Here is a 15,395-nt window from a genome sequence, read left to right as displayed (position 1 = left end):
TATCACAAAATCGTCTTGGCTAAGAGGTGACAAAATCTTTCAGAAAAATAAAAAGACCATCATTTTTGTATCTACCTCTTATCACCTTTTCTTTGATCTGGAAAAGGGTGGGAAATTTTATGATATTTAATGGCTTTACATATTTGGTACCATATTTCCTGCTACAATTCCATCGTGTCTTCTTGCACCAAAATCTTCAAATGGGCTCTGCTTATCCTACCCTCCTATTAAGACTTCCTAGGTTTGCCTTAAATTCTTTGTAATCTGATTCAAAACTATCTTTCCAATTATGGCTCCCATTCTCTATTAAATGAGCTTGCCACCCAGCAAACTGATTTTCTCACTATACATGTCTTGATTGACCCTAACTTTTCTCATCTCTGTGCTTTTGCTATTTTCAACAACCACTCATTTTCTTCCTATCAATGCTTGAAGTTTGAATGCAAAAATGAGTAGAGGTATGGCTCTTGCTTTCAAGAAGTTTATGGTCTAGTAAAGGGAGACACCCATAGAAACAAGTAAGTGCAAACTGTTGAAACAGGTGCTATAGTGGAATTATTATAACACAAAAGGGACAATGAGGTCTGTGCTACCTCGTAAAGTCAGAAAAGGCTTCAGAGAAATGATCCTTGAACTGCATCTTGGAAATGAATGTTTGTCTAGTAAATTGGGTGGGAAAGGGCATCCTGGCAGGAGGAGAACAAAGGCCTGGAGAAATGAAGTGTCATGGTATCTTCCACAAACAGCTAAATATGTGGCCCATGTCAAATTTGAAGTGTGGGACAAAGCAACAGTAAACGCATGAGAGTAAGGCAGGGCCCAGATCACAAAAGCCTGGGGTATCATACTGAGGACTTTGGATTTAATCCCGTAGTTCAGAGACCATATGCTAGCCTTCATGGTATAATTTGGAGTGCAACATTCTTTTATTGATTCTAAACTCCTCTAGAAAGGACATGGTAAACTCTCTCATTCCCTTCACTGGAGTCTCTCTTACTCCTCTTTGTCTTGAACAAAGCCACTTAAAATATTTAACTTACCAGCCTGGTTCCTGACACCATTTGACTTTAGAATGTGGATAGAGGGAGCCATAGAAAACTTTTTACCAGGAGAACAACATGATCAGATGGGTGCTTTAGAAAGATCACTATTGCACAAATGAGCAGGGTGGGTTGGAAGGATGTGGAAATGGACACAGGGAAGAAAGTTAAGAATGGATGAAACACGAGGCTCTGAAGGCAATGGCAAGGAGAGATCCAGGAGATGTTGAGAAGGAAACGTTACTAGGATATTGTACATGATTTAAGGAGGGTGGGGAGTCTCTCACAGGTAGCAAGTCCTCTCCTTTCTCACCTTCTCAACCTCTCAATTTAAGGCTTCTGTTCAAGTTGTCCCCCCTCACTGAAACTGCAGCCCACAGTGAAATTTTCCTCCCTCTAAACTAGTAGTTCTCAAAGTTTACTGTTAATCAAAATCACCTGAAGGGCTTGTTACCACACAGATTGCTGGGTCCCACCTTTAAATGTGGAGCTTCAGAATTTGTTTTTCTGACAAGTTTCCTGCTGATGCTGCTGTTGCTTGTCCAACCACTGCTCTAAACTTATGACTTCTATGAAAGTAGGGACCATACTTGTCTCCTTCACAGTGCTGAGCAACTAGTAGTCACTTCATAAATACATGATGAATGAATGAATTATGGAATGAATAAATCAACATTTATCCTTACATTTGATAGTACACATGCACTTTTTGTGCATTTCTCACCAAATGACTTTTGCGAAAACCAATGCCATAGCATTAATATTGTGATAACAATGTACAGTCCATAAAATCATGGAAATCACCATTTTAAAAAAATCATCTGAAATTTAAGTCCTTCCAAATAACTCTTTAGCAACACTTCTGTTAAAGTTCTTGAGTAACTGTAATCTCTTTTGAATATTGCCATTTATAAAGCTATTAAGGGAATCCATTATATAAAGGGACTTGGTCTCTCATTTTCCTGGCTGCTTCCCCCACTTCAGTCAAGTTGGAGATATTCTAATTCTTCCATTTCCTTTAGAAAAGCTGAATAAGCTACCCTAACTTTTATACCCATCGTTGTTTCAAACAACCAAAGAATGGGTACTAAATCAGCATTGAAATTCTTGTTCTTTTATTTATTTATTTTTGTTCCAAAATAAAGATTTTTTTTTTCCCCAGGATTTCACCTTTATTAAAAACATCATTTTTAGAGTTGACATATCATGGCGCTATTCTTTTTTTTTTTTGAGGTAGAGTCCCGCTCTGTCACCCAGGCTGGAGTGCAGTAGGGCAACCTCAGCTCACTGCAACCTCTGCCTCCTGGGTTCAAGCGATTCTCCTGCCTCTCAGCCTCCCAAGTAGCTGGGACTCCAGGTGTGCACTAACACGCCTGGCTAACACTATTCTTTAATAAAACAAAAAAGAAAGAACTCTGTAAATTTTCCCCACGATTGGTTTGGTGATATTAAAAAGTTAACCTCCATAAAAACCATTAGCAAGGGGAGGAGTTGAAGTCTTTCAGGAATTTGTATAGTGATTCACTATTGTGTGACTACATTGAGTGATTAACCAACAACTCTATTCAGTACCTGCTGTGTGCAAAGCAGTCTGAGACAGATGGCACAAGAGACTTTTAATCAAATAGGGAAGACAAAACTAATGATAACTTACAGTGAGATAGCGTTTTAGTTGAGGAAACAAACTATTATGAAGAGAAAAACAAAAGTCATTTTGTTCCCCCACAAAAGTACCCTATGACCATTCTATCTGTCAGGGGAAAGCCTTAGCTGACAGCTTTCTGCCCTTCACTTGACACCTCTGCTTCAATACCAGAGCATTTCCACTTTGGTGTTTTGTATATAGACAATCTTCCTATGTTTTTGTTTTTGTTTTTTTTTTGTAGAGATGGGGTCTTGCCATGTTGCCCAGGCTGGTCTTGAACTCCTGGGCTCAAGCGATCCACCTACCTCGGCCTCCCAAAGTATTGGGATTACAGGCGTGAGCCACCATGTCCAGCCCCTAAAATTTTATTTGAAAAAAAAAAAAAAGTTCTGTTGCATTTTTAAAAGTTACAAGTACTGTATAATATATACTATTCTCATATAATTAGTAAAGGATAAATAAATGTATCAATGGAAAAAGAAACCCAAATTAAGAGGAATAAAGTTTGTGATAGCTATATCTCCAGACCCAAGCCCCCAATCCATTGTGTAGTTGGACGAGACTACATTTCCCAGACTCTCCCCTTTTATCTTTTTATGTGTTTTTAAATTTTTTTTTTATTTTTTGTAAATCTGGCCTTACTGAAATACCCCCTTTTATCTTGATGAGGCCTCATTCTTAGTAATGATATGGTAGAGAAAATGCTGTGTGTCATTTCTGGGCTCATGTGGTTAAAAGTAGGTGTGACTTTTTTTTTTTTTTTTTTTTTTTTGTCCAAGCAGGCTGCCTGGATTTGTAAATAAAATTTCACTAGAACATAACCATGCCCATTTATTTTCAAGTATTGTCTGTGGAGCAACAGCTGCAGAGGCAGAGTTAAATAGTTGAGACAGACCTTATGGCTCACAAAGCCTAAAACACTATGTGGCCCTTTACAGAAAATGTTTCTTGACCCCTGTTCTAAGGTATGGAAGGAGACTGGGTCCACTGACATTATGACACCTGCATTATTAAAGTGTTATATGAGCCAGAAAGAAATTACTCTTGTGTTAAGCCCCTGAAAATTTTAGTTACAGACGGTAGTAACATACTACTATCTGTTGAACACACCATACTTGGAAGGTGGTCCAAAGATTTACATATTTATTAAAAGCGTACGTATATTTGGGAGACGAATAGTCATTGAACTGGATGTCATAGCTTAGGGTCTTGTTCGGAGATTCTGGAAGAAAATTTCAATTCTTAAAAGTAAACAGATGAAACATCAAGAAATTTAAAAGAGGTTATTCAGGCAAATCACTTATCTTAAGAAATAAAGTCAAGAAAAATACTTCGTGAGGTTGAAAAGGAATTTCTGCAAAGAAGGAAGCCACTGGTAAAGTACACTTTCAAGAACATGGTGGGGAAGAGACTGGATTAAAGTAGTAAGGGATGCATCTTCTAAGAGGAATAAAAGACCTTGATCACATGATCTACCTAAAAAACAAGTCACAAAATATTACTTACCCTTACTGTGTGGGATGCAAATTTTTATTCCCTTCCCGCCCCCGACATTCTATAATATTGCGTAATTATTATGCATGTGTTTTACGCTGGTCACCACGCGGTAAACCGAATCCACAACCCATTATTATGTCGCAACCTATGGTTTAAAAATACACTTCCTTACAGAGGAATCATATACTAGTTGAGCTGGAACTTAGATTTTCAGTCATTAGCCAAATTCTGAAAAGAATCCATATAACAAACCCAGCAGAGTTTATAGCCATGGTTTTGTTTTTGACGTTTGTTGCTCCTTCCTTCTGTAGTCTTTCATCCACATCTATGTAGAACGTCCTGACAATCTGCGAAGAGAAGGCTCTAAGGTGGTTTTATTTGTGGGGAAAGGAGGGAGGTACATGCGGTTTCTCCACCTTAATAGCTGGATCAATTAGGCTGGCCCCGGAGCGCAAAGGGATCCGGGTTTCTGAGAGGCACGTGCCAGCACCATTCGCCCGATACCTCTAGACCAAAGCCGGCCTCCCCTCCAGCCGAGCTCCTCCGTCCTAAAGGACTCGACATCCCCCTCCTCCAGGCCCACACCCCTCAGCCCCGGAGCCCAGGCCCCGCCTCTCCCTGCGGAACCCCTTCCCAACCTGTACGACCAGGCCCCAACTCTGGGTCGAAGCACCTCGCCCCTGCCGGCCGAGGCCCCCCACCTTCTTCCGAACAGCCCCTTGCCCCCCGCGAAGGGGCAGCCGTAGCTCCCAGCCGAGCTCCCCCGCTCCTGGCCCCGGTCCCCGACCCCGCCCCAGGCCCCCGACCCCGCCCCTGCCGGCCGAAGACCCCGCCCCTGCCGGCCGAGGACCCCGCCCCTGCCGGCCGAGGACCCCGCCCCTGCCGGCCGAGGACCCCGCCCCTGCCGGCCGAGGACCCCGCCCCTGCCGGTGGCTGCGGTAGCTGCTGCGCGCTGAGGCGCCTGCTCAGTGTGGGACGCGGAGAGCGAGGGGCGGCGGCGGCGCCCGCTGGCGCTCAAGCATGGCGGCGGCGGCATTGGGCAGCTCCTCAGGCTCGGCGTCCCCGGCCGTGGCTGAGCTCTGCCAGAACACCCCGGAGACCTTTTTGGAGGCCTCCAAGCTGCTGCTCACCTATGCTGACAACATCCTCAGGTGCAGGGCAACGGGGTCGGACGGCGGGTACCGGGGTGGGTGGGCCGCGGCACCTTGTTCGGCCAGGGACTGGGGCGTCCGGCCTGAGCTTCAGAGGGCAGCGACGCCCGGACAGACCGGGACCTGGAGCTGGTTCTGCTCCTAACGTCCGAGCCCGCCGGCCAGGGGCCTCGGGACCCGGCCAAGTCCCACCCCCGCTCGAGAAAAGGAAGTTTCTTTGCAGTTGTGACTTGGCACCTGCAGTCAGGGTGCTGCGGGTGAACTGGAGTCCCGGAAGCGGGGCCGGGCGGAGGAGAGGTAGGAAGGCGTGCTTCAGACACTGCCGCTCTTCTCGTCGTTTAACGGCCTCAGATATCGGGACACAACGGTAACCGCACCGCGCGTGTCATTCCCCCTGCGTGCATTTTTCGAGCGGAGTGGCTTACATTTCCACATACTTATCAGAAGTTACTCACTGACAAAGTGATGTTTTCTTCCCATGTTGAGACTATCCGAGTACTAAAGCATAATGCTTCTGAAGTGGTGGGTTTTAAAATTTTTAATTTTTTTTCTGCCCACTTTTGTTGATTGAAACATTATAGTATTTTGAAGTTACAGTTTTTATATTAATACCTGGATTCTACTATGTAACATAACCCTTTAAGAATTCGTGGAGGTAATCGCCTTGGATGAGAGTAATTTCCTTCATTCTCCTGTCAGCAAAATTGCACTTCTAGAGGTCTAAGGGACCTTGCAGATTTTGGGAATTGGGAGGCAAGTTTGATTATTCATTTTGAATAAGTACCCACCTCAACTCTTCAGATCAAATGATCTGAAGGGACATGGTGTGGGGGGGTAGGGAAATGGAACTGAGGTTAAAGGAGAGCCACTTGCTTTAGGGGTGTTACCTCATTTATCAGGTCACCGTGATTAATTAGGTTCTCTGTTCCCCTCAGCCCCTGGTGCATTAAGTGTTTGGTATATTGTCATGAAGTCTAAAAGGAAATTCTCAGTTTCAAGGTTATAGGTTTCACGTGACCCAATTTTAGACATTAGTTACATGTGCAGTTTTTAAAATCCATGTCAGTAATATTTCATTTAGGCAATGGTAATGATTTTTAAAGTAAATTGAAGGGAAAATATATTGAGCCCTTATTTTGTGGCAGATGCTATGAAAGATGCAACATGTGGCCTGTTCACAGCTACATAATTGTGACCTGTGTGGGGACCACCTTCGTGCTCTGTGACACCTTCTCAACTCACCTTTTTTACTCTTTGAGGCCTTACAGCTCTTCACAGTACAAGGATGCCAAGGGACTCCATAAATGAACTGATAGGCTGGGTTCTCCAGAGCCCATTAGCTGAGACTTACCACCTGGAAAGCCACCAGGCTATTTAAAACCCCACTAGTCAGAAAAGAGAGGTGGCCTTGTAATGAAGCCTCACTTCTGCTTTAAATCTAGTGAAACCCAAAATGCTGAGGTTTAGTATGAGGGGGAAACCTTTGCATGCAAATAATGACATTTAGCATCATAATCTTCATTATGAATGTTTACTAATGGCTCGTTGCTGATTTTCGTTTTTGAGACGGAGTTTGCTCTTGTTGATGAGGCTGGAGTGCAGTGGCGCGATCTTGACTCACTGCAACCTCCGCCTCACAGCTTCAAGATTCTGAAAGATGAGGGGTGTGACAATGAGCGCAAAGGATAGTGGACACACTGGAATAATGCTGAGAAATTAAGAGTTTAAGAAAGTCTTTGTGCGTTGCTTTTCCAAGGATAGGAAAGAGGATATGATGGGTTTGAAGTCTAATGTCCCTACAGCCCTCTAAGTCTTTGAGGGCTTTAGGGTCAGGCCTTTGGTATCAGTCTATACACAAAACCACGGTCAGTTTACTCAACATACTTAATAAGAAAAAGAATTTGAGGAACTGGATGTGACTGTCATTGCTGGAGCCTGTTTGCAGTATACTTTTACTGAGAAAAATAGATTAATGTGAGGTCCAGAGATGATATAAAAATAAAATTGCTCACTGGGCACGGTGGCTCACACCTGTAACCCCAGCACTGTGGGAGGCCAAGGTGGGCGGATTGCTTGAGCTTAGGAGTTTGAGACCAGCCTGGGCAACATGGCTAAACCCCGTCTCTACAAAAAAATTAAAAAATTAGCCAAGCGTGGTGGCAGACACCTGTAGTCCCAGCTACTTGGAGGGCAGAGGTGGGAGGATGGCTTGAGCCCATAATCATGCCACTGCATTCTAGCTTTGATGGCGAAGTGAGACCTTTCTCAAAAAAGAAAAAAAAAATGCTCACTAGAAACTAAAGAGGAAAATCTATATTGTATATCAATAGTTAAATGGTAACAACATATATCAAAATAACAAAGGCCAGTCGAAGTGGCTCCAACCTGTAGTACCAGGGCTTTAGGACACCCCAGGTAGAAGGATTGCAGCCGGGGCAACACAGTGAGACCCCATCTCTTAATAAAAAAAAAAAATAGCCAGGCGTGGTGGCTCACCTGTAGTCCTAGCTACTTCAGAGGCTGAGGCAGAGGATTGTTGAGCCCAGGAGTTCTAAGCAGCAATGAGCTTTGATGGCGTCATTGCACTCTAGCCGGGGTGACAGAGCAACACTTTGTTTTTTAAAAAACAAAACAAAAACTATATGAGAACTGATGTGTATTTTATAAGAATTTTTAAACAATTGTGAAAGCAGGAAGAAACTAGAAAATTAGCCCAGAGAAAGACCCAGCATGTAGAGATCTGAAAGCTGTGAGGAAAAGAATAGATTAAAATAGCTCAAGCAGTTTTGAACCAGTAGGATATATCATCCTGGTGGTACTGACATGTTTATCACCCTGTGAAATACATTGAGTGTCAGGAAAAGATGCCCCATTTATCGAAAACTAGCTTTGATAAATGTAGGATTATTTTATAGTTCAGTTTTCTTAAGTGATAAGAAAGAGAGGCTCACTTGTGAGACAGTGTAGCATGGAAGCCAGGAATGCGAATGTTCTGCAGTGCACAAGGAAACTCCACTGAGAAAAGGCCCCACATGTTAATGGTGCTGAGACTGAGAAACCCTAATCTAATACACAGAATAAAGAGTTGAGAATAAAATTTTCTTTGTATTTCACAACCATCTGTGATTCTCAAATTACATATAGTAAAGAACAATGTTTTTGTTTTAATTTCCAATCCCTTATGGACCTATAACTTTTGTAAAATACACTGAAAATTTCATGGCAATATCAAATTGCTGTATACCGAACATTCAATTTCTCTACTTCTTGCTTCATTTTTATGCACTTGTAAACAAACAAAGAAAAAATTTCTGTACTACTTGTGTATGGGTAACAAATAATTTGTAGATTAGCACCAATCTGTGGACATTTTGAATAGCAAAAAAAATAGAGCATTTGTCTCTGAATATTCTGTAATAAACATGATTTTTGAAATTAGGGAAAAGTTTAAAAACATTCATTTAGTATTTATGACACTTTGGCCAATAGGCAATTGACTGGTGAAAAACAAATGCAAAATTTGTTAAAACTTATAAAATTAAAATATTTGGTTTTTGGTTTTGTTTTTACGTCAGAATACCTAGAGAACATGTGTAGATAGGACAAAGTTGATAAGTCATTTGCTAGCATTTGCCTACTCACCATATCATACCCCAGGGCAGGTGGCTTCTTATGGAAGTACATCTTCCTATGGATCCCAGATACTGCCTCAGAATCCTCCTTAACATAGTACTTAAAGAAGTCACTATCACTTTAAGGCAGTTGGTGTCAGGTATGAAACTTATCATCCTAAACTATGTTCTGAGGGTCTTTTGAATATAATACTATGATTAGCTTAACCTTACATTCTTTTAATTTTTTTTAAACAATTCTGATTTATCAAAGTAATTAAAAATCTCAAACCAAAACTTTTCATGTGCTGGTTACTTGTCCCAAGTGTACTATTCAAAATCTTAATTATGGTAAAAGAAATTTATGTCTTCCTTTTATTGCCATACTGTCTGTGTCAAGAATATGTCTTGGGCCAGGTGCGGTGGCTCACGCCTGTAATCCCCAGCACTTTGGGAGGCTGAGGCGGGTGGATCACCTGAGGTCGAGAGTTCGAGACCAGCCTGGTCGACATGGTGAAACCCTGTCTCTACTTAAAAAATGCAAAATTAGCCAGGAGTGGTGGTGCACCCCTGTAATCCTAGCTACTTGGGAGGCTGAGGTGGGAGAATTGCTTGAACCTGGGAGGTGGAGGCTGTAGTGAGCCGAGGTCACGCCACTGCACTCCAGCTTGGGAAACAGAGCAAGACCCCTCTCTCAAAAAAAAAAAAAAAAAAAAAAAAAAAGAATGTATCTTAAACTGAAGCGAGACCCCCCCCATCTCAAAAAAAAAAAATGTACCTTAACAGCACAGAATGTAATTTACTGTTTTTACTTATAGTAAAAACAACCATTGGTTTAGGGAAGAAAGAAAATCAGGTGACTATAAAGGTATACCTAGGTCATGTTTGTTGAAAGTAAAGTCTTTGAAGAACTATGACCTGGTTTTTTTTATATATAATCAAACTTTTGTTTTTTGTCAGAAACCCTAATGATGAAAAATATAGATCCATCCGGATTGGAAACACAGCCTTTTCTACTAGACTCTTGCCTGTCAGAGGAGCTGTTGAATGTTTATTTGAAATGGGCTTTGAAGAGGTAAGTATGTTCAAGGATTTCCTCTCCCCTCTTCATGCACAAAGCAGCCATTATCATGTTGGTGAATAATTGTTTGAATAAGATAATGTTTTTTAATTTATCATTTTGGGAATCAGTAGAAGTAGTTATTTCTTCATTGATTGGACATTTAAAAATCACAACAAGTATAGTTTAAAATTTCAGTAAAATGTAACAACGCTCCACAGAGAAATTCTTACGAGTCTCAGTTCTTTAAAATAAGGGTCATACATGCAACCCAAGGACCAAATGTGGTTCACTTTAGGCTTTTAGCTAAAACCTGATTTGTGAGCACACATGAATACTAATAGAGTCTAGCTACCTGTCTGTAGTAGGAAATGAAAAGAGTCTGAAGTAAACAGAAAAACTGAGTTGAGCTGCCACACAGAAGGGGTTTCTTCTGTGACAGGAGAGGAGTCTCAGTATTTTTTTTTGTTTTTACTTCAAATGAATATTTTGGTGTTATCTTTTGGAATCTTGTGGTGTAGTTTAATTTTATGACACATCGAAAGTAGTTATTAAGATTCTGAATTTTCTTTATGTTTATATCCTTAACTAGTTCTCCTTTGTAGAGCATTGAAAGAACTTGAACAAGTTACAGAGACTCAATAGTCAGTGGTCGTCAGAATAGGCAATTGTAGAAGTTGTTAAAGAGATATGCTGAGCTGCTATGTAAGATTCACTTTTCTTCATGCCTCTCTGCTTCCCTCCCCAGGTTCCATTTCAGGCCCTGAAGTAACAGTAGTGAACAAAGTAGTAGATATAATCCCACCTCACATAGAGCTTACATTCTAGTAGGTTAAACAGCCAGTAGATGTGAAAACAAGATGAGTGCAAAGAAGAAAATAAGACCAGGTAATAGAATAAAAAGTACTTTGCATGGCAGGCAGTGGTCAGGGAAGTCCTCTCTGAGGAGATGACATTTGAGCTGTGACTTGAAACATCTCAGGTACCTGAAACTCTCAGGTAAGAGTGTTTCAGGCAGAAGGATTAATGTGTGTAAAGGATTTCCAGCAGAAGTAACCGTGAAACAGAAATAAGCTGCATAGGGAGGCAGAGACCAGGACACATGGGGTCTTGAGGAATGTGGCAAAAGACTTAGACTTTATTTTAAGTGAGATGAGAAGCCACTGGGAATTTTTTTTTTTTTTTTTTTTTTTGAGATGGAGTTTCGCTCTTGTTGCCCAGGCTGGAGTGCGGTGATGCAATCTCAGCTTACCACAACCTTCGCCTCCTGGATTCAAGCGATTCTCCTGCCTCAGCCTCCTGAGTAGCTGGGATTAAAGGCATACGACAGCACGCCTGGCTAATTTTGTATTTTTAGTAGAGATGGGATTTCTCCATGTTGGTCAGGTTGGTCTCGAACTCTTGACCTCAGGCGATCCGCCCGCCTTGGCCTCCCAAAGTATTGGGATTACAGGCGTGAGCCGCCGTGCCCAGCCTGGAAAGTTTTAAGTAGGGAAAAATATTTTTGAAGATTATTCTAGCTTGCTGTAAAGAGAATTCCTGGAGGTGGTGGGATGGGGACAAGGGATGAAGCAGGGAGACCGGTTAGAAAGCTTATTACATTAGTCTAAATAAGAAATGGTAGTGGTTTGTATAAAGTCCATGAAGGCAGGGTTTTTTGTCATTTCTGTTCCCTGTGTTGCTAGCTCCTGGAATAATGCTGGTGCATTACAGATGTTAGGTACTCAATAAAGATTTGTTGAATTAAGTACTGATGGTGGAGATGGAGAGAAGTAGATGGATCCAGGATTTCTTTTTGTGACAGAATCAACAGGACTTACTGGTGATTTAGATGTAAGATATAAGGGAAAGGAAGGAATCGGGGACTTACCTATGTTTTGGTTTAAGCAACTAATTGGATGGGAGTATCATTAATTGAGATAGAGAAGCCTTGGAGAGTAGCAGGTTTTAGGGGAGAAACTAACACCTGTCTTTGGACAATTGTGACCAATTTGCTGTTAAATATTCAAGTAGAGAAGCCAAGTAAGCAGTTGGCTATATGAGTTTACAACCCCAAAGGAGAGATTAGGCAGGGGATATAAATTATGGTGTCATCTGATTATAGATGATACAAAGGTATCCGAACATAAAGAATTTAAAATTCCTTGTTCAAGGAAATGCCAATTTTCAAGATTCAAATTGGTTGGGAAAATTGAGTAAATGACAACGGAAGACTCTACCCATTTCTCATGTCGAAGTGTCACATATTCGATAGAATTAGATTTGTCTTTCATTCAGCAAATATTTGAGTGCCAAGTAGGGTAGCCAGCCATTCCAGTTTGCTCAGTACTGTCCTGGTTTTAGCAATGAAAGTCCCACATCCCAGAAAACCCCTCGGTCTCAGGCAAACCAGTGTTGGTCACTGCAGTGCCAAATAACAGGCCACACTGAGACTTGCAGAAGTATTTGATGCAAATGGAGTCACAGTCTCAGAAAAGATTAACAGGTTTTGATATGACTAATTTATACTTAAAGTTTCTGTTCGGCTTTAGACATCACACCTCAGGACTTGAACTCTACCACCAAAAAGAAAGTTGGTGGACTTTTTAAAGAATAATTATATGAATACATAATAGTTGTACATTATGGGGTACAGGTGATATTTTGATGCTAGCATACAAATGTGTAATGAACATATCTGAGTAATTGGAACATCCATGATCTCAAACATTTATCATCTCTTTGTGTTAGAAACATTCAAAATTCTGTCTTCTAGCTATTTTGAAATATACAATGAATTGTTTTTAACCGTAGTCACCGTATTGTGCTATAGAACATGAGAAATTATTCCTCCTATTTAACTGTAATTTTGTGCCCATTAACCAATCTCTTTCTATTGCCCAGTCCCTTCTATCCCTCCAAGCCTTTGGTAACTGCCATTCCACTCTTCTTTATTTTTTTAAATTTTTATTTAATTTTGTAATATCTTTTTACAATCACTCTTTTCTTCTATGGGATCAATTGTTTTAGCTCCCACATATGAGTGAGAACATGTGTTATTTGTCTTTCTGAATTCTGGCTTATTTTACTTAACATAATGTCCCTCCATTTCCATCCATGATGATGCAAATGACAGGATTTTGTTCTTTTTTATGGTGGAATAATATTCCGTTGTGTATAGATACCACATATTCTTTATCCATTCATCTATTGATGGACAATTAGGTTAATTCCATATCTTGGCCATTGTGAATAGTGCTGCAGTAAACATAGGAATGCAGATACCTCTTCAATATGCTGATTTTGGAAAATGGTGGATAGGAGACAGGACTAACTTGCAGCTCCCAATTGGACTGACAGAACAGTGCCTGGAAACTCACATCGTGAACTTTTGCTCTGAGAAATACTAGAGGAACATACCAGGAAAACCAAAAGAATTCACAGACCCTTTGAAAAAAGCAGCTTGCTGCTGCAAATTCCATGAGACAGAGGAAAACCTGTGAGTGCCCGAAGTGTGACGGGGAAAGTCCACTGGGGAACCTGAAAATCCAGATCACGGGAGAAGGGTTTAACCTTACCTAGAGCTGAAATTAATTTAGAGAGCTGAGTGAAATATAAAAGTAGAACAAGCAGCGAGAAGAGCCTGCAGGCACTCCTGGCCACCAAGGAAGCCATTTCTGACTTTATCTCACAGGGGTCCTTGGGGAGGGCTGCCAGTGGAATTGGGGAAAGACCACAGGGAGAATGAAACTTGCAGCTGAACACGAATTTTCCTGGACTGGGGTGTGTAGGGGAGGTGGCAAATGGGAAATGCAGATACTGCAGATACAAGCACAGAAGCCAAGGCAGACGGAGAGGGGTGAAGCCTGAAAACCCTGATTGCTTTCTCAGTGGGGAGACTTGTAGCCTGGGGCAAAATCTCAACCCTGCGTACACTGCCTGGATATAAACATGGTGCTATTGGTGGAGCATGGTGGGAGTGAGACTGGCCCTTCTGGCTGTGTGGGAGCTGGGTATGGCCTGTTATTGCTGGCTTTCCCCCACTTCCCTGGTGACCTGTATGATGCAGCAGAGATAGCTGTAATCCCCCTGGAAACATAACTCCATTGGCCTGAGAACCACACCCCCATCCGCCACAGTGGCCACAACAAGCCCAACCCAAAGAGAGTCTGCTCTCAGACATGCCTAACCCTGCCTTCACCTGATGGTCTTTCTGAGAGAAAAGACATAATCTCTTGGGAACTCTATGGCCCTGCCCACTGCCTGAGAAACCCAAATACTTATGCAGGCAACCCTAGGGCAAGCTTACATCTTCTTGATACTACTGCAGCTGATGCTGTCTTGAAAGCATCACCTTCTGGCTGGGGGCCAACCAACTGAAACCATTACAGCAACTCATTAAAGAACAACTCTGCCCCAAGAAAAGAGAATACAACAGCTAATTCCACCACCTGTAACATCCTGGCTAACCAGAGGTCTTGAGTCCAATCGCATGACAGCTTTACTACCAGCACACCTGGAATTCGAGAAAACCAACACACTAAACAAAACTGCAACCAAGGTCCCACACAGAGTCCACTTCACTCCCCTGCCACCTCCATCAGAGTAGGTACTGGTATCTATGGCTGAGACTTGAAGACAGATCACATCACAGGACTCTTTGCAGACACTCTCTAATACCAGTTCAGAGCCCAGTAGCTCTACTGGTTTGCTAGACCCAGAAGAGCAATAACAATCACTGCAGTCCAGCTCTCAGGAAGCCCCATTCCTAGAGGAAGGGAAGAGCACCACATCAAGGGAGCACCCCATGGGGCCAAAGAATCTGAACAGCAGCCCTTGAGCCCCTGATCCTTCCTCTGACATAGTCTATACCTAAATGAGGAGGAACCAGAAAAACAATTCTGGTAATATGACAAAACAGGGTTCTTTAACATCCCCAAAAGATCACACTAGCATAGTAGCAATGGATCCAAACCAAGAAGAAATCTCTGAATTGCCAGAAAAAGAATTCAGAAGGTCAATTATTAGGTTACTTAAGGAGACACCAGAGAACTTAAAGAAATTTAAAGAGTGATACAGGATATGGATGAAAAAAAATCTCCAGAGAAATAAATAGTATAAATAAAAAACAATTACAACTTCTGGAAGTGAAGAACACACCTAGGGAAATGCAGAATGCATCGGAAAGTTTCAACAATGGAATTGAACAAGTAGAAGAGAACTTCAGAGCTCAAAGATGAGGCTTTCGTATTAACCCAATCCAACAAAGACAAAAAAGAATTTTAAAAATGATCAAAGCCCCAAGGAAGTTTGGGATTATGTTAAATGACCAAACCCAAGAATAATTAGTGTTCCAGAGGAAGAAAATACATCTAAAAGTTTGGAAGACATATTTGAGGGAATAATTGAGGA

The 15,395-nt window shown here is 41.7% G+C and overlaps 1 protein-coding gene across 13 annotated transcripts in view, besides 4 other annotated features; it reads left to right on the top strand.

Moving 5' to 3' along the window:
• The window catches only part of NGLY1 (N-glycanase 1), a 71,096-nt gene that overhangs the window by 1,447 nt on the left and 54,254 nt on the right, over positions 1 to 15,395 (top strand). For 11 of the 13 annotated variants that reach the window (XM_005265317.1, XM_005265316.1, NM_001145295.2 and 8 more), the window contains exons 1-2: positions 5,150 to 5,333; positions 9,905 to 10,019. In XM_005265317.1, the coding sequence (XP_005265374.1) occupies positions 5,203 to 5,333; positions 9,905 to 10,019 (246 nt within the window). In that variant the 5' untranslated portion in view covers positions 5,150 to 5,202. Of the gene's footprint in view, positions 1 to 5,149; positions 5,334 to 5,720; positions 5,856 to 9,904; positions 10,020 to 15,395 lie in introns of those variants that run through there. The other 2 variants (XM_011533944.1, NM_001145294.2) reach the window with 2 other exon arrangements.
• Positions 4,961 to 5,200: a silencer, noted in NCBI's record as "silent region_14147". NCBI's record gives its function as "represses an Ori minimal core promoter by ATAC-STARR-seq in GM12878 lymphoblastoid cells {active_cell/tissue: GM12878}" and the evidence as "EXISTENCE:reporter gene assay evidence [ECO:0000049][PMID:35858748]".
• Positions 5,511 to 5,560: an enhancer, noted in NCBI's record as "active region_19611". NCBI's record gives its function as "activates an Ori minimal core promoter by ATAC-STARR-seq in GM12878 lymphoblastoid cells {active_cell/tissue: GM12878}" and the evidence as "EXISTENCE:reporter gene assay evidence [ECO:0000049][PMID:35858748]".
• Positions 5,721 to 5,800: an enhancer, noted in NCBI's record as "active region_19610". NCBI's record gives its function as "activates an Ori minimal core promoter by ATAC-STARR-seq in GM12878 lymphoblastoid cells {active_cell/tissue: GM12878}" and the evidence as "EXISTENCE:reporter gene assay evidence [ECO:0000049][PMID:35858748]".
• Positions 7,188 to 7,357: an enhancer, noted in NCBI's record as "active region_19609". NCBI's record gives its function as "activates an Ori minimal core promoter by ATAC-STARR-seq in GM12878 lymphoblastoid cells {active_cell/tissue: GM12878}" and the evidence as "EXISTENCE:reporter gene assay evidence [ECO:0000049][PMID:35858748]".

Source organism: Homo sapiens, chromosome 3 (genome assembly GCF_000001405.40).
Source record: "Homo sapiens chromosome 3, GRCh38.p14 Primary Assembly".
NCBI classification, from domain to species: domain Eukaryota; kingdom Metazoa; phylum Chordata; class Mammalia; order Primates; family Hominidae; genus Homo; species Homo sapiens.
This window is presented reverse-complemented; position numbering and strand designations above follow the sequence as displayed.